The 21,467-nt window shown below is 45.8% G+C and overlaps 1 protein-coding gene and 1 pseudogene across 4 annotated transcripts in view, besides 5 other annotated features; one reads left to right on the forward strand and one right to left on the reverse strand.

The window, feature by feature from the left end:
- Positions 1 to 18,396, reverse strand: part of CNOT1 (CCR4-NOT transcription complex subunit 1) — a 109,876-nt gene extending 91,480 nt beyond the window's left edge. For all 4 annotated transcript variants that reach the window (NR_049763.2, NM_001265612.2, NM_016284.5 and 1 more), the window contains exon 1: positions 18,298 to 18,396. The gene's annotated coding sequence lies outside the window, so the exon portion shown is untranslated. The remainder of the gene's footprint in view (positions 1 to 18,297) is intronic.
- On the forward strand, positions 7,245 to 7,334 carry LOC124903804 (uncharacterized; annotated as a pseudogene).
- Positions 17,473 to 18,149: an enhancer, noted in NCBI's record as "NANOG-H3K27ac-H3K4me1 hESC enhancer chr16:58662807-58663483 (GRCh37/hg19 assembly coordinates)". NCBI's record gives its function as "activates a minimal SCP1, AML or CMV promoter by ChIP-STARR-seq in naive H9 embryonic stem cells {active_cell/tissue: H9 hESC(naive)}" and the evidence as "EXISTENCE:reporter gene assay evidence [ECO:0000049][PMID:30033119]".
- Positions 18,150 to 18,825: an enhancer, noted in NCBI's record as "NANOG-H3K27ac-H3K4me1 hESC enhancer chr16:58663484-58664159 (GRCh37/hg19 assembly coordinates)". NCBI's record gives its function as "activates a minimal SCP1, AML or CMV promoter by ChIP-STARR-seq in naive H9 embryonic stem cells {active_cell/tissue: H9 hESC(naive)}" and the evidence as "EXISTENCE:reporter gene assay evidence [ECO:0000049][PMID:30033119]".
- Positions 18,150 to 19,263: a biological region, named in NCBI's record as "NANOG-H3K27ac-H3K4me1 hESC enhancer GRCh37_chr16:58663484-58664159".
- Positions 18,274 to 18,483: an enhancer, noted in NCBI's record as "active region_10931". NCBI's record gives its function as "activates an Ori minimal core promoter by ATAC-STARR-seq in GM12878 lymphoblastoid cells {active_cell/tissue: GM12878}" and the evidence as "EXISTENCE:reporter gene assay evidence [ECO:0000049][PMID:35858748]".
- Positions 18,774 to 19,263: an enhancer, noted in NCBI's record as "active region_10932". NCBI's record gives its function as "activates an Ori minimal core promoter by ATAC-STARR-seq in GM12878 lymphoblastoid cells {active_cell/tissue: GM12878}" and the evidence as "EXISTENCE:reporter gene assay evidence [ECO:0000049][PMID:35858748]".

Below are 21,467 nucleotides of genomic sequence, written 5' to 3' on the forward strand. Positions count from 1 at the left end.
AAAAAAATAAATAAAATAAATAAACTCCCCAGTCAATTACTGAGAACCACTGACCTAAGGAGCAGTGTCAGGTTATTCCTTGCTAACAGGTATTAGAAATATTTAAGAAGCCGGGAACAGTGGCTCACGCCTGTAATCCCAACACTTTGGGAGGCCAAGGAAGGAGGATCACCTAAGGTCAGAAGTTCGAGACCAGCCTGGCCAACATGGTGAAACCTTGTCTCTACTAAAAATACAAAAATTAGCTGGGTGTGGTGGCAGGCATCTGCAGTCCCAGCTACTCAGGAGGCTGAGGCAGGAGAATGGCATGAACCCGTGAAGCAGAGCTTGCAGTGAGCCGAGATCACGCCACTGCACTCCAGCCTGGAAGACAGAACGAGACTCTGTCTCAAAAAAAAAAAAAAAAGAAATATTTAAGAAAAGGATACTGTACTTTGATGCAATCTCTTCTTTGAGGACAAGGAATGCCCCTCACACCTACTTCTTTTTCTCCCCTTAACTCCTTCCAACTGGACCAAAGACATCTGTTTGCTCGTTTGTTTTTTCCTTTAACAGAAGGGGTCTTGCTCTGTTATCCAGGCTGGAGTCTAGTGGTGTGACCACACCTCGCGGCCAACCTCAAAACACTCCTGGACTCAAGTGATCCTCCCACCTGAGCCTCCCAAGTAGTTGGACCTACAAGAATGTGCCACATGCCAGGCTGCAAAGACATCGATCTAAAGGCAGTTTGGTTTCCCACAGCACTGATGCCAGCAATGTTCTACCAGCTACCTTGCTCTAAATTTAAATATCAGGCACCTTAAGAAGACAAGTAGGCAAGACCCAACGCTATCAGTTTATTGAACTGCCAACTTCCAATACTAAAAAAATACTAAATACTAAATACAGAATACTTACACCAACTGATAACCAAGTTTGACCTTGAAAATTATTTATTTCCCAAGTAGCATTCTGACCTAAAAAAGGTCAATCTGAGCCTTGTCTTTTTTTCACTCTCTTTCTGCAATTATGAAAATGTTCTACATCAGACTGGCGCCGTGGCTCACACCTGTAATCCCAGCACTTTGGGAGGCCAAGGTGTGTGGATCACCTGAGGTCAGGAGTTCAAGACCAGCCTGGTCAATATGGCAAAACCCCATCTCTACTAAAAGTACAAAAATTGGCCAGGCATGGTGGCATGCACCTGTAATCCCAGCTACTCAGGAGGCTGAGGCAGGAGAATAGCTTGAACCCAGGAGGGGGATGTTGCAGTGAGCCGAGATCCTGCCACTGCACTCCAGCCTGGGCGACAAGAGCAAAACTTCTATGGAAGGCTGATTATACACTTACTAATATTAACTACTTCTCCAAGAGGCAAAGATTCTAGATTTATGGGGCAGTTCCAAAAGGTTGGTTCACTTATTAAAATCTTAGTTATAACTATTGTGTACATAATAGAATAACTTATGCAAGTATAATAAACACTAAGTAGAATTGGTCTAAGCACTTTACATGTTTCTTTAATCCTCACAACTCAAGGGTGATATTATTACCCCAACTTTACAGATAAGGAATAGTTTAACTTTCAGATAGTAAGTAGCATAATTTTGAAGATACTGAGCAGTAGAGGTTTTTTGTTTGTTTTTCAGACTCGCTCTGTCACCTAGGCTGGAGTGCAGTGGCATGACCTTGGCTCACTGTAACCTCCCCCTCCCAGGTTCAAGCGATTCTCCTGCCTCGGGATCCTAAGTAGCTGGGATTACAGGCATGCGCCAACACGCCCAGCTAATTTTTTTTTATTTTTAGTAGAGATGGGGTTTCATCATGTTGGCCAGGCTGGTCTTGAACTCCTGACCTCGTGATCTGCCCACCTCAGGCTCCCAAAGTGCTGGGATTACAGGCTTGAGTCACCACGCCTGGCTTAGAGGTTAAGTCTAAAACAAGCAAAAATCCTTTCAAAATCGATTTGTACAAGTCTAAATAATTGTTTTAATACCAATTCTTGGTATCAATAAGCATCTCCACTCTCACAGAAGTTTTAGGCCCCTAAACCATCTGCATTATACCTCTGCACTGAATACTTAGGAGTCACCTTTTAATTCATTACTTTTTCTCCAGGCAATGACCAATTCTTTAAAAACTATCAACTGAAAGCCTAAATATCCATCAAAAGGGCACTGATTAAGTAAATCATAAAGTGGCAAACCATGTAATAACTAAAAAAAGGACCCATAAATAATAGAAATTATCTATTGAGGGGAAAAAAACAGTCACGTAACAGTGGTCTATTTAGATTATGTTCTTATAGATACAAAGTATCTAATAAGAATAACTCTTTTGAAAAGTTACATAAAATAGTTGAGAAAGGAACTGAAGTTTTTTTTCAAAGTAGAAAATTGGTCGCCGTGGTGGCTCACGCCTGTAATCCCAGCACTTTGGGAGGCCGAGGCGGGTGGATCACGAGGTCAGGAGATAGGGACCATCCTGGCTAACATGGTGAAACCCCGTCTCTACTAAAAATACAAAAAAAAAATTAGCCGGGCGTGGTGGCGGGCACCTGTAGTCCCAGCTACTCAGGAGGCTGAGGCAGGAGAATGGCGTGAACCCGGGAGGCGGAGCTTGCAGTGAGCCAAGATCGCGCCACTGCACTCCAGCCTGGGCGACAGGGCGAGACACTGTCTCAAAAAAAAAAAAAAAGAAAAGAAAATTACTCTCAAAACCAAAAAATATTATGCCAGTAGCTTTGCATATTCCAAGACTCTCTATGCAAAATCCCAACCTATGGAAGCCATTCACCTCACTCACTGTAGAAGAGAGGTAACATAGATGGCCCGAGCCTGCTGTCCTTAGAAAGGCTTGCACAGTTGGCCCTTGGCTGGTCTCTGATAACTTTCGGAAGAGTTCTCACCATCCCCAGGGCTACTAAGAGTGACTCATTCGGCATAAACTGCACAAACCAAATGTGGTTTATGATGAACACCGGCTTTCTATCTAGATGAATACCAGCTTTCTGTCTAGGAGCCTAAAATTTTAATATGTGGTAGGCAGAGGGTGCCTACAGGAACAGGCCCCACCAATAATAACAATAGGCACTGAGTTTCTAGCAAAAGCTTCCCTGCTAGGCAACATTTCACATACACGTGCTGTCGCAACTCCATGCTGGAGGAATTGTGTCCTGTGTGACTCCACTGGGAGAGGACACTTGGGAGCATGAGCCTAGTTTCCTCCCGGATTCACCCCATTCACCATCTCCCCTTGCTGATTTTGCTTTGTATACTTTGCTATAGAAAAACACTTTTTATTGTATTTTATTTTTTTGAGACGGGGTCTCACTCTGTCGCCCAGGATGGAGCGCAGTGGCCTGAGCTGGGCTCACTGCAGCCTCTACCTCCCAGGCTCAAGCGATCCTCCTGCCTCAGCTTCTGGAGTAGCTGGGACCACAGGCATATGCCACTACGTCTAATTTTTTGTACTTTTATTAGAGACAGGGTTTCACCATGTTGGCCAGGCTGGTCTTGGAACGCCTGGCCTCAACTGATCTGCCCGCCACGGTCTCCTGACGTGCTGGGATTACAGGCATCAGCCACAGCACTGGGCCTGTATCCTTTGCTATTTAAAAAAAAAAAAAAATCAGCCCTGGGCTTTTCTCCTAGTGAATTACTGAACCTGCAGGTGGACTTGGGAACTGTCCCCAACACGCTTGCCCAGCAGAGATGAAATATCTTCTAGAGGTAAGTGGGACCCAAATTGTGGATTTCCTGTCTAGCACATGGAGAATCCATTTCAGAATTTTGAATCTTATCACAAAGATGATCTGGGAAGCTACTTTGATTGGTTTGGGTCTGTTTTAGTAAACAGGGAGATGCAGAGATGGGCTAGATGCTCACCAAACTGCTTCCTCTTCCCAGCTAAAGAATTAGAATACAATTCTCAGCTTCTCTTGCATTGGTTTGGCTGTAAGACTTAGTTCCTAACCCACAAAGTATACAGCAAATATGGTATGTGGCACTTTCAGACCTAGCTCACAAAACCTCACTCATGATTCTCTGTTTTTGACTATCTGCCCGATGAATAAACCCCCAAGACCTAGAGGAGGATGATGTCATGAGATGACAGACGAAGGGAGACTTCTTGAATTATTGCACAGGATCCTCAATGAAACATCCTCAATGAAAATTATTTGAGGAAGAAATACATTTTTACTCTGTTAAGCCGCTGTTATCTTGGATTTGTTTTAGGCCTGTTTTGCCTAATAACAGACAAAATGATCAAATGAACATTTTTAGAAGTTACTCTTGATGATGGGAAATACCAAGAAAGGAAAGATAAGGTCACAGGAAAGCCATGAACATGTAAGGAAAAGAGAAGCGAATGTACTCAAGAAACAGCAGGCCAGACACAGTAGCTCGCACCTCTAATCCCAGCACTTTGGGAGGCCAAGAAGGGAGGATGGCTTGGGACCAGGAGTTCAAGACCAGCCTAGGCAACATAGAATAACCCCATCTCTACTTTTTTTTTTTTTTTTTAATTAGCAAGGTGCAGTGGCAAATGCCTTTGGCCCTAGCTACTAGAGAGGCTGAAGGGGGAGGACTGTCTGAGCCCAAGTGAGCTATGATCAGGCCATTGTCCTGCAGCCTGGATGACAGGGCAAGACACTGACTCTACCAAAAAAATAAAAAGTAAGAAATTGCAATAACTCTTTTTGTTAGTTTTTTCAGACGGAGTCTCGCTCTGTTGCCCAGGCTGGAGTGCAGTGTCATGATCTCGGCTCACTGCAACCTCCGCCTCCCGGGTTCAAGCAATTCTCTGCCTCAGCCTCCCAAGTAGCTGGGATTATAGGCGCCTGCCACCACGCCCGGCTAATTTTTACATTTTTAGTGGAAACAGGGTTTCACCATCTTGGCCAGGCTGGTCTTGAACTCCTGACCTCAGGTGATCCACCTGCCTCGGCCTCCCAAAGTGCTGGGATTACAGGCGTGAGCCACCACGCCCGGCCTACAAGGACTTTGTTTTTATTTTTTATTTTTAGTACAGATGGGGTCTTGCTATATTGCCCAGGCTGGTCTCAAACTCCTGAGCTCAAGCAGTCCTCCCACCTCAGCCTCCCAAAGTGCTGGGATTACAGGTGTGAGCCACAGCATCCAGCTGGTTTTTTCGTTTTTTGTTTTTAAAGGAAAACAAGATATAGTCAAAGTTTGGGAAATTCCTTCTGCCTTCACTACCCATCATAGTGCTTATTTTTCATAATCTTATTTCAGGTTGGTTTGCTTTCGTGAGAATGACATGATTATTTTATATATTACTACTAGATTATTTGGCAGCATTTTTTTCAATAATACAGTGTATGCCAATTTTAGAGATTTTAAAGTATGGAAATTTTGTGTTAGAATCAGTGAAATATGTTATTTCCTTTCCCCCATGTAGTCTTCTGTTACATGTGCCATTGTAAAACTAAAATAATTTTAAGTGTCTTGTGATTTATACCAAGAATAAGTAAATCTAAAGTGAACAAAATAAACCTAATGAGAAATCTGAACCTCAAGAAGGCATCTATGGAAAAAAAACACTGAAGAGCAGTAGTATCTCCAAAAGCATTTTGAAATGTTTAGGTGTCAGAAGAGTTACTGGCATTCAGTGAGAATTAAGGATGAAATTAAACATCTTGCAAGAGGCCAGGTGCAGGGCTCACGGCTGTAATGCCAGCATTTTGGGAGGCTGAGGCAGGAGGATCACTTGAACCTGGAGTTTGAGACCCATCTGGGGAACAGTGAGACCATCTCAACAAATAAATACATAAACAAGCAAGCAGGGCATGGTGGCATGCACCTGTAGCCCTGGCTACTTAGAAGGCTGAGGTAGGAGGATCACTTAAGCCTGAGAGGTTGAGGCTACAGTGAGCCATGATTGCACCACTGCACTCCAACCCGGGCAACAGAGCAAGAGTGTCTCAAAAAAATTTTTTTAATTAAAAAAAAAAATAACAAACCACATCTTACAAGGGGACAATACAGGCTGAGCATCCCAAATTTGAAAATCCAAAGTTCGAAAGACTCCAAAATCCAAAATGTTTTGAGCACAAACATGACACTCAAAAGAATACTCATTGGTGCATATTGGTAAGTACAAGAATTTTCCAAAATCTGAAATGAGAAACATGTCTAGTCTCAAGCATTTAAGATAAGCGATATTCAACCTCTATCGCCAACAAAGAACTACGCTGCCCAAATGCCAACAGTGCCCTTGTTGAGAAAATGGCTGATATAGCCACCTTCTATAGGATGGGCCCTCAATGTAAACACCTCAAAATTAACTTTTGGCTGGTGCAGTGGCTCATGCCTGTAATCTCAGGACTTTGGGAGGCTGAGTCAGGAGGACCACTTGAAACCAGGAGCTCAAGACCAGCTTGGGCAACATAGCAAGACCCTGTCTCTACAACTACAACAATAAAAATTAGCTGGGTGTGGCACTGTGTGCCTATAGTCTTAGCTACTTGGGCTGCTGTGGGAGGATGGCTTGAGCCCAGGAGTCTGTGATTTTAACGAGCTATCACAGCACTACTGCACTAGAGCGTGGGTAACAGAGCAAGACCCTGCCTCTATAAAATTAAAGAAAAAATTGACTTTCCACATTAACACAAAGCCAAGCAGAGCTTAAATCCAGAAGATGGTAAGAAATGGTATGCAGCTTACATAAAGTGGCTAACACAAGTTATTAGAAAAACAGTTTATGCATAACTATTTTGTGGTGGATTGTGTACTTGCACCTGCAATCCCAGCCAGCTACTCAGGAGGGTGAGGTGGGAAGACTGACTGAGCCCAGGAGTTCAAGGCTGCATTGAGCTGTGGTCGAGCTACTTTGTCTCTAAAAAAAAAAAATTAATTAAAAAGAGTTTGGCCGGGCACGGCAGCTCACACCTGTAATCCCAGTACTTTGGGAGGCTGAAGTGGATGGATCACGAGGTCAGGAGTTCGAGACCAGCCTGGCCAACATGGTAAACCCCGTGTCTACTAAAGATACAAAAAATTAGCAGGACATGGTGGTGCACATCTGTAATCCCAGCTACTTGGGAGGCTGAGGCAGGAGAATCAGCTTGAACCCAGGAGGCAGATGTTGCAGCGAGCTAAGATCGCACCATTGCACTCCAGGCTGGGCGACAGGGCGAGACTCCATTTCAAAGAAAAAAATTAGCAGGGCATGTTGGCGCACACTCCAGCCTGGGCGACACAGAGAAACCCTGTCTCAAAAAAAAAAAAGAAAAAGAGTTGACCCTTCCGTAGTTCATAAGCATGATGACTGGGTGTTCACATGCATGCGTGAGATATGGCAACCTCAAACGGCACATTACCTGTCTGACATGAAAAAAAGAGTTGACTTGCTTTTTATATACACATATTAATCAAGCAATTTATTTCACTCAATGCTACAGTGCCTTCAATAACTTGTAACATTTAACAGCCTTGTGTATGTGCCTTAAATATTTTACAAGAATTAATCTAATCCACGCCAGGCATGGTGGCTCCCGCCTGTAATCCCAGCACTTTGGGAGGCTAAGGTGGGAGGATTTTTTGAGGCTGGGAGTGCAAGGCCAGGCTGAGCAACATAGTGAGACCCCCATCACTATAAAAAAACTTTTTTTAATTAGCTGGACGTAGTGGTGCACACCTGTAGTCCCAGCCACTGACTGGGGAGACTGAGGTGGGAGGATGGCTTGAACTCAGGAGGTCATGGTTGCAGTGAGCCATGATCGTGCCACTGCACTCCAGCCTGGGCAACAGAGACCCTGTCTCAAAAAACAAAATAACAGAGAGTAGCCTTCTTGAAGCTATTTTATTTTAAAAAGAACTACACCAAGAGAAAACTCTCAAATCTCAGAATTCAATTTACGATGCTAAAGAACTTGTTAAAACTCAAGTCCCTTCATCTTTAGGCAGTCTCAGCAGAACTGCAAATTTATTATTATTACACTGACCATTAATTGTAAAAGAGCATCTTTTGGTCACACTAGAGTTTTGCATTTTCTTTCTTTTTTTTTTTTTGAGACAGCGTCTCGCTCTGTCACCCAGGCTGAAGTGCAGTGGCGCGATCTCAGCTCACTGCAACCTCCGCCTCCCAGGTTCAAGCAATTCTCCTGCCTCAGCCTCCCAAGTAGCTGGGACTAGCCGCCCGCCACCACACCTGGCTAATTTTTGTATTTTTAGTAGAGACGGGGTTTCACCATATTGACCAGGCTGGTCTTGAACTCCTGACTTTGTGATCTGCCCACCTCGGCCTCCCAAAGTGCTGGGATTACAGGCGTGAGCCACCGCGCGTAGCCAAGTTTTGCATTTTCATAGTGAGGAAATGAAAAATTCAAATCTTGTTTCTAGTCGTCCAAAAAACTGCTGGGAAAAAAACCTTATTTGCTTTGGTCACAACTAAGAAAACTCTATCCAAATAAAAGGTTGGGGGTAAAGAAAGATCTCCCTAATTAATTCAAGAAATTGCCAAGATGTAAATAGTTTAACTCTGTAGATTACTAGAGATAGTCATGATATTCTAAAATCCAATGCACAAATGAAACTAAAATCCTGACCTACATAATGAACCACCACCGATAGATCTTTTCCTCTGAAATGTTACTTGCTCATTCAAGCAGTATGAAAAAAAGAAAAACCAGAGTATCGATTTCCAAGAATGCTATATTCTATCAATTTACCCAACTGTAATAAATGAAGCACTATTCAATTACAGTTCAACTGTATATATGCACTGGGGAAAGAGACTCCTTACTCACTATGGGACAGAAAACTTAAAAGGCATTGTAGGGTGCACTTAAGTGAAACTGGCCAAGGATGGCAAAAAATCAATTTTGCTTAAGGAAATTAGGTATTTATAGACAGTACACCTGAGTTTGGACTAGAATGATAAAGTTTTGGTAGAGATGACATTCCAGATGTAAAAAGACGAAGAGGCTGGGTGCGGTGGCTCAAACCTGTAATCCCAACACTTTGGGAGGCCGAGGTGGGCAGATCACCTGAGGTCAGGGGTTCAGGACCAGCCTGGCCAACATGAGGAAACCCCATCTCTACTAAAAATGCAAAAATTAGCCGGGCGTGGTGTGGCAGGCACCTGTAATCCCAGCTACTCGGCGGGGATAAGGCAGGAGAATCGCTTGAACCCGGAAGGAGGTGGTTGTATTGCAGTGAGCCAAGCTCGCGACACTACATTCCAGCCTGGGTGACACAGCGAAGACTCTGTCTCATTTAAAAAAAAAAAAAAAAAAAAAAAAGAGGACAAAGATATATTTGGGTACCACTGCTTAACAGTCTTTTGACTATAATACAACACAGTAGTACCACAGGGAAGGAGGAATCAACACTTATAATTCCAGATGAAGGTATTAGAATGACTTCTGAACAAAGAAAGGATATTTCCAAAGCAATGATTTAAGTGGCATTTTGGCAGAAATATAAAAAATTAACTGCAGTCCTAGAATCTTTTACAATCACAATATCCACATATTATTTGTGAAATAAACCCAAAAACCAATGATAAAGAAACTATAATGGAGATTAGTTAGAAAGTTATTTCAAAAAAGACAAGAGCCTGAAACTAGACAAAAAGATAACTTTTTTTTTTTCTTTTTTTTGAGACAGAGTCTGTCACCCAGGCTGGAGTGCAATGATCACAGCCCACTGCAGCCTCGACCTCCCCAGGCTCAGGTGATCCTCCCACCTCAAGTTTTGTATTTTTAGCAGAGATGGGGTTTCATCATATTGCCCAGGGTGGTCTGAAACTCCTCGGCTTAAGTGATTTGTACACCTCTGCCTCCCAAAAGTGTTAGGATTGCAGGCGTGAGCCACTGCGCTGGCCCAGCTAACTATTCTTTCTTTTTCTTTTTTGAGACAGAGTTTTGCTCTTGTTGCCTAGGCTGGAGTGCAATGGTGCAATCTCGGCTCACCGCAACCTCCACCTCCCAGGGTCCAGCGATTCTCCTGCCTCAGCCTCCCAAGTAGCTGAGATTACAGGCACGCGCCACCACGCCCAACTAATTTTGTATTTTCAGTGGATACGGGGTTTCTCCATGTTGGTCAAGCTGGTCTCAAACTCCCGACCTCAGGTGATCCGCCCGCCTCGGCCTCCCAAAGTGCTAGGATTACAGGCATGAGCCACCACGCCTGGCAACTATTCTTGTTAGCAAAACCAGGCCTTATAGTTTGTCCAAATCCACAGAATATACACCACCATGGCCGGGCATGGTGGCTCACACCTGTAATCCCAGCACTTTGGGAGGCCGAGGCGGGCAGATCACGAGGTCAGGAGATCGAGACCATCCTGGCTAACACGGTGAAACCCCGTCTCTACCAAAAAATACAAAAAACAAATTAGCCGGGTGCCTGTAGTCCCAGCTATTCAGGAGGCTGAGGCAGGAGAATGGCATGAACCCGGGAGGCGGAGCTTGCAGTGAGCCGACATCGCACCACTGCACTCCAGCCTGGGCGACGGAAAGAGACTCCGTCTCAAAAAAAAAAAAAAAAAAAAAAAAGAAGATACACCACCAAGAGTGAATTCTAATGTAAACCAGAGAATTTGGATGATGATGATCTATCAGCGTAGATTCATCAATTGTAAGAAATGTACAGGCTGGGCTCGGTGGCTCACACCTGTAATCCCAGCACTTTGGGAGGCCGAGGCGGGTGGATCACGAGGTCAGGAGATCGAGACCATCCTGGCTAACACGGTGAAACCCCGTCTCTACTAAAAAACTATAAAAAATTAGCCAGGCGTGGTGGTGGGCGCCTGTAGTCCCAGTTACTAGGGATGCTGAGGCAGGAGAATGGCGTGAACCCGGGTAGCACAGCTTGCAGTGAGCCGAGATGGCGCCACTGCACTCCAGCCTGGGTGACAGAGCGAGACTGTATCTCAAAAAATGTACCACTCTAGTGGGGGGGGGGGGGGGGGCGGGCGTGGACAATGGGCAAGGCAAAGCATGTATTGGGGCAGGAGATAATACAGGAAACCTCTGTACTTTCTCATCAATTTTACTGTGATCCCAAAACTGCTCTAAAAAATAAAATCAATTAAGAAAAAAACGCAAAACCTAGAAGCTATAAATCTAAGGGAACAAACGTTTAATTATCTGACTCGGAAACTGCTGAGTTCTGAATATAAAGCTTAAGAATATTATAGGCTCACGCCTATAATCCCAACACTTTGGGAGGCTGAGGTGGGTGGATCACCTGAGGTCAGGAGTTTGAGACCAGCCTGGCGAACATGGTGAAACCCTGTCTCTACTAAAAATACAAAAATTAGCCAGATGTGGTGGTGGGCACCTATAATCCCACCTACTCGGGAGGCTGAGGCAGGATCGTCTCTTGAAACCTGGAGGCAGAGGTTGCAGTGAGCTGAGATCGCACCACTGCACTCTAACCCAGGCGCCAAGAGTGAAACTCTTGACCCAAAAAAAAAAAAAAGAAAGAAAGAAAAAGAAAAAAGAATGTTAGATAGCGTCTTTGAAAATCCTTTTGGCTGGGTGCAGTGGCTCACGCCTGAAATCCCAGCACTTAGGGAGGCCAAGGCAGGCAGATCACCTGAGGTCAGGAGTTCGAGACCAGCCTGACCAATATGGCAAAACCCCGTCTCTACTAAAAATACAAAAATTAGCCAAGCGTGGTGGCAGGCGCCTGTAATCCCAGCTACTCAGGAGGCTGAGGCAGGAGAATCGCTTGAACCCAGGAAGGAGAGGTTGCAGTGAGCCGATATCGCGCTCCAGCCTGGGGGATACAGCGAGACTCTGCCTCCAAAAAAAAAAAGAAAAGAAAATACTTCCATCCCACTTTTATATTTCAAATAATTACTTCAACATTACTGTAATATTTATTGTGAGATATACATTTGGTCTTCATCCCATTTCCTGGCATACAACTTCTAAGATCCTTAGAATGGTAAGTTTCTTTTTGTATGCTGAGTTGACTGATAGCTTGGCAACTTCTAGGTAGTTTCTGCATGGGTGCTGGTCACCTGAAAGATCAAGGCAAGATGAGAGGATTAGGACTTTTAGCCCCACCTCCTCCAAACTCCAGGGAGGGAAAAGGTGCTAAGGGTTAAGGTGACCACCAAAGGTCAATGATTTAACCAACTGTGCCTCTGTAATGAAGCCTCCATAAAAGCCCATAAATGACTGGGTTCAGAGAGCTTCCAGATAGCTGAGGCACAGTGTAGCCAGGGGAGGGCATGGAAGCTCCGCGGCCCTTACTTCTCCTACGCACCTCCTCATCCATATCCTTTATAATAAACTCTTGAACCTAAGTGTTGGCCGGGTACAGTGGCTCATGCCTGTCTGTAATCCCAGCACTTTGGGAGGCTGAGGTGGGTCGATCGCTTGAAGTCAAGAATTCGAGACCAGCCTGACCAACATGATGAAACCCCATCTCTACCAAAAATATAAAAAATTAGCCAGGTGTGGTGGCGCATGCCTATAATCCCAGCTACTTGGGAGGCCGAGGCAGAAGAATCGCTTGAACCAGAGCGATAGAGGTTGCAGCAAGCCTAGATCGTGCCACTGCACTCCAGCCTGGGTGACAGAGCCAAGACTCCGGCTCCAAAAAAAAAAAACCCTAAGTATTTCCGAGAGTTCTACATAAGCCACTCTAGCAAGTTAACTGAACAAAAGAAGGGGGTATTAGGAACTCAATTTATAGTCAGTTGGTCAGAAACACAGGTAAAACCACCTGGGACTTGAGATTAGCATTGGAAGTGGGGGACTGTCTATGGGACTTGAGCTTTCAACCTGTGGGATCTGATGCTATCTTCAGGTACACCGTGTCAGAATAATACTGAATTAGAGGATACCCATGTGGTGTCCACTGCTGAATAGCTTGCTTGATGCGCAGGGGAAAACCCCACACATCTGGTGGTGTGAGAATATACTGGAAGAAAGTTTATGTTCTCAGAATCAACAAAAAATTATCCTACATGGTTGCAACGTATTCAACATTTCAGGAATTTCCCTGTAACAACTGTAACACAGTTAAGCAACAGGTATGCTGGAGGTTAGTTAATGCTGTGTTTTCCAGAATTAAAGATATAAATGCATTTCTCAAATATATACACTACATTCCTTTAAATCACTGTGGGTGCGACGGCTTACGCCTATAATCCCAGCACTTTGGGAGGCTGAGATGAGTGGATCACAAGGTCAGGAGTTCGAGACCAGCCTGACCAACATGGTGAACCAGATCTCTACTAAAAAGACAAAAATTACCCAGCCGTGGTGGCACGCGCCTGTAATCCCAGCTACTCGGGAGGCTGAGGGAGGAGAATCACTTGAACCTGGGAGGCGGACGTTGCAGTGAGCCGAGATCACACCACTGCTCTCAAGCCTGGGCAACAGAGCAAGACTCCATCTTAAAAAACAAACAAACAAACGAAAAAACTCAACAAATGGCTTCATATTAAGTCTACACCTCTAATTACTGCCTTCTCAAACTACGCTTTCCAGTGAACAATGCTTTATTTGGTTTGCTACATTCTTGCAAATTTGAGTGAAAAGTACACTTAAAAAAAAAAAGTATCATAGGCCAGTATGGTGGCTCACATCTGTAATCACGGCACTCTGGGAGGTCTTGGTGGACAGATCGCTTGAGCCCAGGAGTTCCAGACCAGCCTGGGAAACACAGTGAAACCTCACCTCTACCAAAAAAATACAAAAATTAGGCCAGGCGCAGTGGCTCACACCTGTAATCCCAGAACTTTGGGAAGCTGAGGCAGGTAGATCACTTGAGGTCAGGAGTTCAAGACCAGATGGCCAACATGGTAAAACCCCATCTCTACTAAAAATACAGGCCTGGGCAGTGGCTCACGCCTGTAATCACAGCACTTTGGGAGGCCGAGGCAGGTGGATCACCTGAGGTCAGGAGTTCGAGACCAGCCTGACTAACGTGGTGAAACCCTGTCTCTACTAAATACAAAAAATTAGCCGGGCATGGCGGCGTGCGCCTGTAATCCCAGCTATTCAGGAGGCTGAGGCAGGAGAATCACTTGAACCCAGGAGCCGGAGGTTGCACTGAGCAGAGATCACACTATTGCACTCCAGCCTGGGCAACAAGAGCAAAACCCTGTTTTAAAAAAACATATATATATAAAATTAGCCAGGCATGATGGCGCGCACCTGTAATCCCAGCTACTTGGGAAGCTGAGGCAGGAGAATCACTTGAACCCGGGAGGCAGAAGTTGCAGCAAGCCAAGATCATACCACTGCACTCCAGCCTGAGGGAGAAGAGCAAAACTCTCTCTCAAAAAAAAAAGAAAAAAAACAATTTTTGACACGTGTGGTTAGCATGCACCTGTAGTCCCAGCTACTCAGGGGCTGAGGTGAGAGACTGACCTGAGACCAGAATATCAAGGCTGCAGTGAGCAGGGATTGTGCCGCTGCACTCCAGCCTAGGCATTGAAGTGAAACCCTGTCTCAAAAAAAAAAAAAAAAAAAACTATTGTATACACTGGGGGGCAGAAGGTGTTGAGCCCCTTTTAACTTTCAAAGATTCATCTTTAAAATTGTGAGCAAACAGAAAAGGAATTGCTAGATTCTTCTATATATAGAGTCACTCAATGGGATGCCATTTTGAAACTTCACAGCAGGAAGTTTTAGTTTGGTCAGAGGGTCATTAAAGAAATGCCTCAGTTAATATATATGACTTGAAAGTCTTTTCTTTTATAAAAGTATATACCAAGTTCAGGCCGGGTGCTATGGCTCACGCCTGTAATCCCAGCACTTCGGGAGACTGAGGCAGGCAGATCACCTGAGGTCAGGAATTCGAGACCAGCCTGGCCAATACGTTGAAACCTCTTCTCTACTAAAAATACAAAAACTAGCTGGCTGTGGTGGCAGGCACCTGTAATCCAGCTACTCAGAAGGCTGAGGCAGAAGAATCGCTTGAACCTGCGAGGCAGGGGTTGCAGTGAGCCAAGATTCCACCATTGCACTCCAGCCTGGGCAACAGAGCGAGACTGCGTCTCAAAAAAAAAAAAAAAAAAAAAAAAAGATATACCAAGTTCATAAAATACAGCATTTCAAAATGGCAGACTACTAGGCTGGGCACGGTCACTCATGCCTGTAATCCCAGCACTTTGGGAGGCCGACGCGGGTGGATCACGAGGTCAAGAGTTCGAGACCAGCCTGACCAACATAGTGAAACCCCGTCTCTACCAAAAATACAAAAATTAGCTGGGTGCAGTGGTGCGCGCCTGTAATCCCAGCTACTTGGGAGGCTGGGGCAGGAGAATCGCTTGAACCCAGGAGGCGGAGGTTGTAGTGAGCTGAGATCGCACCACTGCATTCCAGCCTGGGCAACAGGGTGAGACTCCGTCTCAAAAAAAAAAAGGCAGACTACTATTTTTGTTAATGTGGGACAAAATACTCATAACAAATATTTTGCAAAATTTTTTTTTAATTTAATTTTCTTTTTTGTAAAGACAGGGTCTCACCATGTTGCCCAGGCTGGTCTCTAACTCCTAGTCTCAAGCATCCTCCTCCCTCATCCTCCCAAAAAGCTAGGATACAGGCTTGAGCCACTTGCCTGGGCCAAAAAAATTAGTCCCAAAATATGACAGCACTCAATTAGAATTATTGTGGACAAATTCCATTCTCTGGTATTGGGTACCAAAGACGTGTTTGTTATTACACAGAAAGAAATAATCAAGTTCATAAATTCAAACTGGTTAAAAAGAAAGCTTCTCGGCTGGGCACCGTGGCTCACGTCTGTAATCCCAGCACTTTGGGAGGGTGAGGCGGGTGGATCATGAAGTTAAGAGTTCGAGACCATCCTGGCCAACATGGTGAAACCCTGTCTCTATTAAAATACAAAAATTAGCTGGGTGTGGTGGCGGGCACCTGTAGTCCCAGCTACTCGAGGGGCTGAGGCAGAATTGCTTGAACCCTGGAGGCAAAGGTTGCAGTGAACCGAGATTGTGTGCTGCTGCACTCCAGCCTGGTGACAGAGCGAGACTCCATCTCAAAAAAAAAAAAAAAAAAAAAGTTTCTCATAACCAGATCAGAATCTATCCTAAAACATACTCAGAAAAAGTAACATGCAAGGTAATTTGAAATCAGACTTTAAAGCATGTTTTGAAAAGATGGCAAGCATTTCCATTTGTTTTCATAGCTTTTTTTAATGACTTGACTCCAAATAAGAAGGATGTCTTATTATTTAGCTTGACAACATCTATGTTAAAGAGACTAGGATCTAAACCCCGAAGAGAAATTCAGAAACTAGAAAAAAAGAAAATGAACCCGGGGTGTTAAGCTGGGAACCAAAAAGAGCACATTTCAATTCTTTTCCACCGTAATGCCACAAAACCGTACCTTAAAACTTCTAAGATTACAATCTTAGGTAAGAAAAGGAAATATTTTCAGTTACAAATAGACATGTCTTTGCGCCTTCATTCTAGACTTTTTTTTGAGACGGAGTCTCCCCGTCCCCCAGGCTGGAGTGCAGTAGCTCTATCTCGGCTCACTGCAACCTCCGCCTCCCGGGTTCAAGCAATTCTCCTGCCTCAGCCTCCCAAGTAGCTGGGATTACAGGCACCTGCCACCACGCCCGGCTAATTTTTGTATTTTTAGTAGAGACGCGGTTGTGACATGTTGGCCAGGCTGGTCTCGAACTCCTGACCTCTGGTGATTCACCTACCTTGGCCTCCCTAAGTGCTGGGATTACAGGCGTGAGCCACCGCGCCCAGTCGATTCTAGACTTGTTTCCACTAAGACTTGGGGAACCCACACTTGTTGAAAAGGAACTAACTCTCCAAACTAGTTTTATCAACATGCTATCATTTCAGTCAAAGCACAGCTAGCCACCTAAAACCATGTATCATCAATGCATATTCTCCTTAGACAAGGTAACAATTTGCAGTATCCTAAAACATAATTATTTAAACTGTTACCACATGTCTTCTTAATAGCTAAAATACTCTGCTGCCAATCTTTAAAAGGGTAGGAATACCAACCGGGACCACAGATCACTTAAGTATTAAACCCAAGTACCTATAGAAAAAAATTGTTCTTAATCTGTTTGACCTTCCTCCTAATATTTTACTTGCCTTCCCTCATTTTTTTAATCCATGTATTCCCTATTCCTATCAAAGGGGCTGTCATAAGGAAAACGTTCGGCATTGTTTCAAACAGTATAATTATATTCACTCAATCACTGACTTAAAAAAAAAAAAAAACCCAAGTAGTCACAGGCTATCGAATTGTAGAGAAATCGGCAGGGTAGGTTAAGCATTGTTACTCAGTTTTCAGGAAGAAAACAGACTTTATTAGAGTCCTAAGAAATGTGACATTTGATTAACTTCATGGGAAAAGTTTGTCATAAAGTTTATTTTAAATACAACATTTTCAAACGCACAGATGTCAAGCATTCTTTTTTAATCTACAAAGCTTACTCCTCGGGGAGTTAGTATCTGTGAGCCCTCTTGGGTGAATTCTGCAAAGGAGGTGGTACTGAAAAAGTATTATTTGTGTTTGGCCTTAAGTACCTCTACAAGACCTGCCGTGGATCTTATCAGCCTTGAGGCCTACAAGTGCTCAGCTCACTAGCGGGACACTTGTCCTGGGTGAGCAGGACCGCCACTACTGCAGACACCGGACCGAGTAGGTGGGGGCCAACTTCAAAGAAAGTGTGAGCGCCCAGGCGCGCGAGTGGAACAAAACCTGTAGCAAGTAATAAGGAAGTGCTTGCTCCCGCCCGCCCTTCCCATCCGGGGACACCCGAAACCTGGGGGGCTTTGACAACGTGCTGGGGGCGTAAGACGGGGAGAGTGGCAGCTCCGAGTACACGGAGAAGAACTGGAAACATGCAAAAACTCCAAACACGGTCCCCCCCGCCAGAAGCCCTAGGCCTCGGAAGCCGATGCCCACTGCAACCATCAGGGAGCAGAGACAGAAACAGTAGTTAAGGAGGTCGTGGAGGTCTCAGAGGGGTGCAACCCGCGCGAAGCCAGGCCCAGCGACACGAACTGCCGCCGCTGCCGCCCCCTGAGCCTCCAGGCCCGGGACAGAGACCACCATGGGTCTCACCCCGCGCTCTACCCTCCGCTTCCTGGAGCCTTCTCGCTGGCCTCTCATCTTCAGAGCGCGAAGCCTCCGAGAGCCGTGTGGAGAAGAGTCCGCCCTCTCCCGCCTCGTCCCACTTCCCCGTCCCGGCTGCCTCTCACTCCCTAGAGCTCCGGGAAACGCTTCCAGTGGCCCCAGGTCCACCCCTGTTCCTCCTCCCACCGGCTCTCGCGTTCCCAAGCTGACACCGCCACCCTACCCTAGCCCCTGACGCCAACCCGCCTCACCTCAGGCGGCTCCGGCAGCGCTGGACACAGGAAACTCCTGGGTCCCCGACTCCGGCTCTCCTCGACCCCCTCTTCGGTTAACTCCGCTTGTTTCTCTACAAAATGGCGCCGGAGGTCGCGCGCTCACGTCGCGGCCTTTCCCCTCCCCGTTCCCATTTCATCATTCGCTGCCCGCCCGAGGAGGGATGGCCCCAGAGCCAGCCAATGGCCGCGCCCCGCCTGTGGCTTCTACCCAATCACCGACAGGTGCCCGCGGATTTAAACCAATCACACTCTATCACTTGCAGAAGTCGAGGAAGAAATCAGGCTCCTGCTAGCAACTACCAATCCGGCCTCCTACTTCGCGGACTTTGGCCAATTGCCGCTCACCAGGCCCAGGGGACCGGAGTCAGAGCCCTCGCGCCTGCGCTCGAGGCGAGGGCCAATAGGGAGAGGCTGATAACTTCGATTTGGGGCTTCACGTACTTCCCACCTGCCCTGGAGGGCTGCGACCAGTGGGGCTTGGCATTGCCTTTGAGGAACAATAAATTATGGAAGGGGCCCATAACTCCTCGCCACCCTGCGCGGGAACTACTTTGAATTACAGTGAAACAGCTTTCCTCCACTTTCCTTCCTCTTTCGAAATGTCACGGTCCAGTAGACTTCGGGGATTCCCAACCGAAACAATCCCCTCCCCTAGTGTCCCTTTGGCGGGGAACGCCAGCCAGAAAGCAAGCCAGGTTGTGACTAGAGTTGGGGCGCTTTGCATCCTGGGATGTGTAGTCGCGCTCCTCTACCCCGTTCCCATCGCAGAAGTAATGCGTCTTCGTTCGTCGCTGCGCCCTAGAAGGAGCAGTGCATGCTGGGGGTTGTAGTCACCCAGGTGGCCACCTTGTCCTCGCTTGCTTCGCTTTGGTCAAGGGAACTTTCTGTTTTAGTTCTGTCTATTGAAGAAGGGACACCTTCCAGAGACGCCTTCCAGAGACGTAGGAGACGCAAGTTCTCTTCCTGGCTTAAGTCCTAGAAGCCGTCTAAGAAAGGATACCCATGTCCTTTGCTCTCAAGAGAAAAAGCATAGAAACATATTTTGCTATGGTTTGTTTGTTAACTATGATAGTTGGTAAGATTTTATACTCACCTGTACCCAAAAGAGAAAGGATTGGGAAGGAAGTGTTGACTGGTTAGCTCTATTACCTTTTGAAATTAAGGCCGGGCGCGGTGGCTCACGCTTGTAATACCAGCTCTTTGGGAGGCTGAGGCGGGTGGATCACGACGTCAGGTGATCGAGACCATCCTGGCTAACACGGTGAAACCCCATCTCTACTAAGATACAAAAAATTAGCCGGGCGTGGTGGCGCACACCTGTAATCCCAGCTACTTAGGAGGCTGAGGCAGGAGAATCGCTTGAACCCGGGAGGCGTGGGTTGCAGTGAGCAGAGATCGCGCCACTGCACTCCAGCCTGAGCGACAGAGCAAAACTCTGTCTCAAAAAAAAAAAAAAAAAAAAAAAGGCAGGGCGCTGCGGATCACGCCTGCAATCCCAGCACTTTGGGAGGCCGAGGCGGGCGGATCACGAGGTCAGGAGATGGAGACCATTCCGGCTAACACGGTGAAACCCCGTCTCTACTAAAAATACAGAAAAATTAACCGGGCGTAGTGGCGGGCGCCTGTAGTCCCAGCTACTCGGGAGGCTGAGGCAGGAGAATGGCGTGAACCCGGGAGGCAGAGGTCGCAGTGAGCCGAGATCGCGCCGCTTGACTCCAGCCTGGGCGACTGAGCGAGACTCCGTCTCCAAAAAAAAAAAAGAAAAGAAAAAGAAATTCAAACCTATCCCTGTGCTCACCCCTGTCCTCAGACTAGGCTCAGTAGGTGGTCTTCTGGCCATCTCTCTCATATTACCTCTCGTGCCCAAAAAAATACTTAAAAAAAATTATGGTAAGAAACACATGAAATTTACCATCTTAATCATTTTTAAGTGTAGAATACAGTAGTGTTAACTATATGCATATTGTTGTACAACAGATCTCTAGAACTTTTTCATCTTGCAAAACTGAAACTACATCTGTTGTTTAACACCTTCCATTTCCCCCTCCCCCTAGTCCCTGACAATCACTATTCTTCTTTATGTTCCTGAGTTTGATTACTTTAGATACCTCATATAAGTGGAATCATGCAGTATTTGTCTTTTTGTGACTGGCCTAGTTAACTGAGCATATGTCCTAAAAACACATCTTTTTTTTTTTTTTTTTTTTTTTTTTTTTTTTTTTTTTTGAGACGGAGTTTTGCTCTTGTTGCCCAGGCTGGAGTGCAATGGTGCAATCTCAGCTCACTGCAACCTCCGGCCTCCCCAGTTCAAGCAAGACTCCTGCCTCAGCCTCCCAGGTACCTGAGATTGCAGGCACGTGCCACCACACCCAGCTAATTTTTGTATTTTTAGTAGACACAGGGTTTCACCATGTTGGTCAGGCTGGTATTGAACTCCTGACCTCAGGTAATCCACCCGCCTCAGCCTCCCAAAGTGCTGGGATTACAGGCATGAGCCACCAAGCCCAGCCTAAAAATACTTTTCGACACCTCCCTTTCCTTAGTTGGAGGCCAGGTCTTTCAGCCTACATTTACTGAGTCCCTTGTGCTTTCAAGCAACTGTGCAAGAGCAGAACTGTGCAAGAGCCAGGGACCCCACATATAGTAAGAAGAAGGATCACTTCCGTCTTGTTCACAGCTGTATTCTCAGCACCTAGTATTGTGTCTGGCACATGGTAGGCATATGTGCAAATAGGCCTTGCAGGGTACTAAAGGGAGAAATCGACTTACAACATTGTAATCTTAGAAGTAAAAGGCCCCCTAAACAGAACAAGGATGAGGAATAAGGCCCTTCCCTGCACGGTTGCTAGTAAAAGTTACCAAAACCCCTATGTAGAGCAGCATTTTGGCCGAGTTTATCAAAAGTGAAAATGCCGACCCCACTGACCCAGTAATTCCATGTCTAAGAATTTACTCCACAGATGAACATTGCAAATGTGTGCAGAGTGCATACAGATATACATGGAAGCGTTGTTTATGGGGACCCAAAAGATTGGAAACAATAATAAAATGTATGGTACTTTGGGCCAGACCCCATCTCTACTAAAAATACAAAAATTAGCCAGGTGTGGTGGCAGGCGCCTGTAATCCCAGCTATTCGGGAGGCT

Source organism: Homo sapiens, chromosome 16 (genome assembly GCF_000001405.40).
Source record: "Homo sapiens chromosome 16, GRCh38.p14 Primary Assembly".
In the NCBI taxonomy this organism is placed as follows: domain Eukaryota; kingdom Metazoa; phylum Chordata; class Mammalia; order Primates; family Hominidae; genus Homo; species Homo sapiens.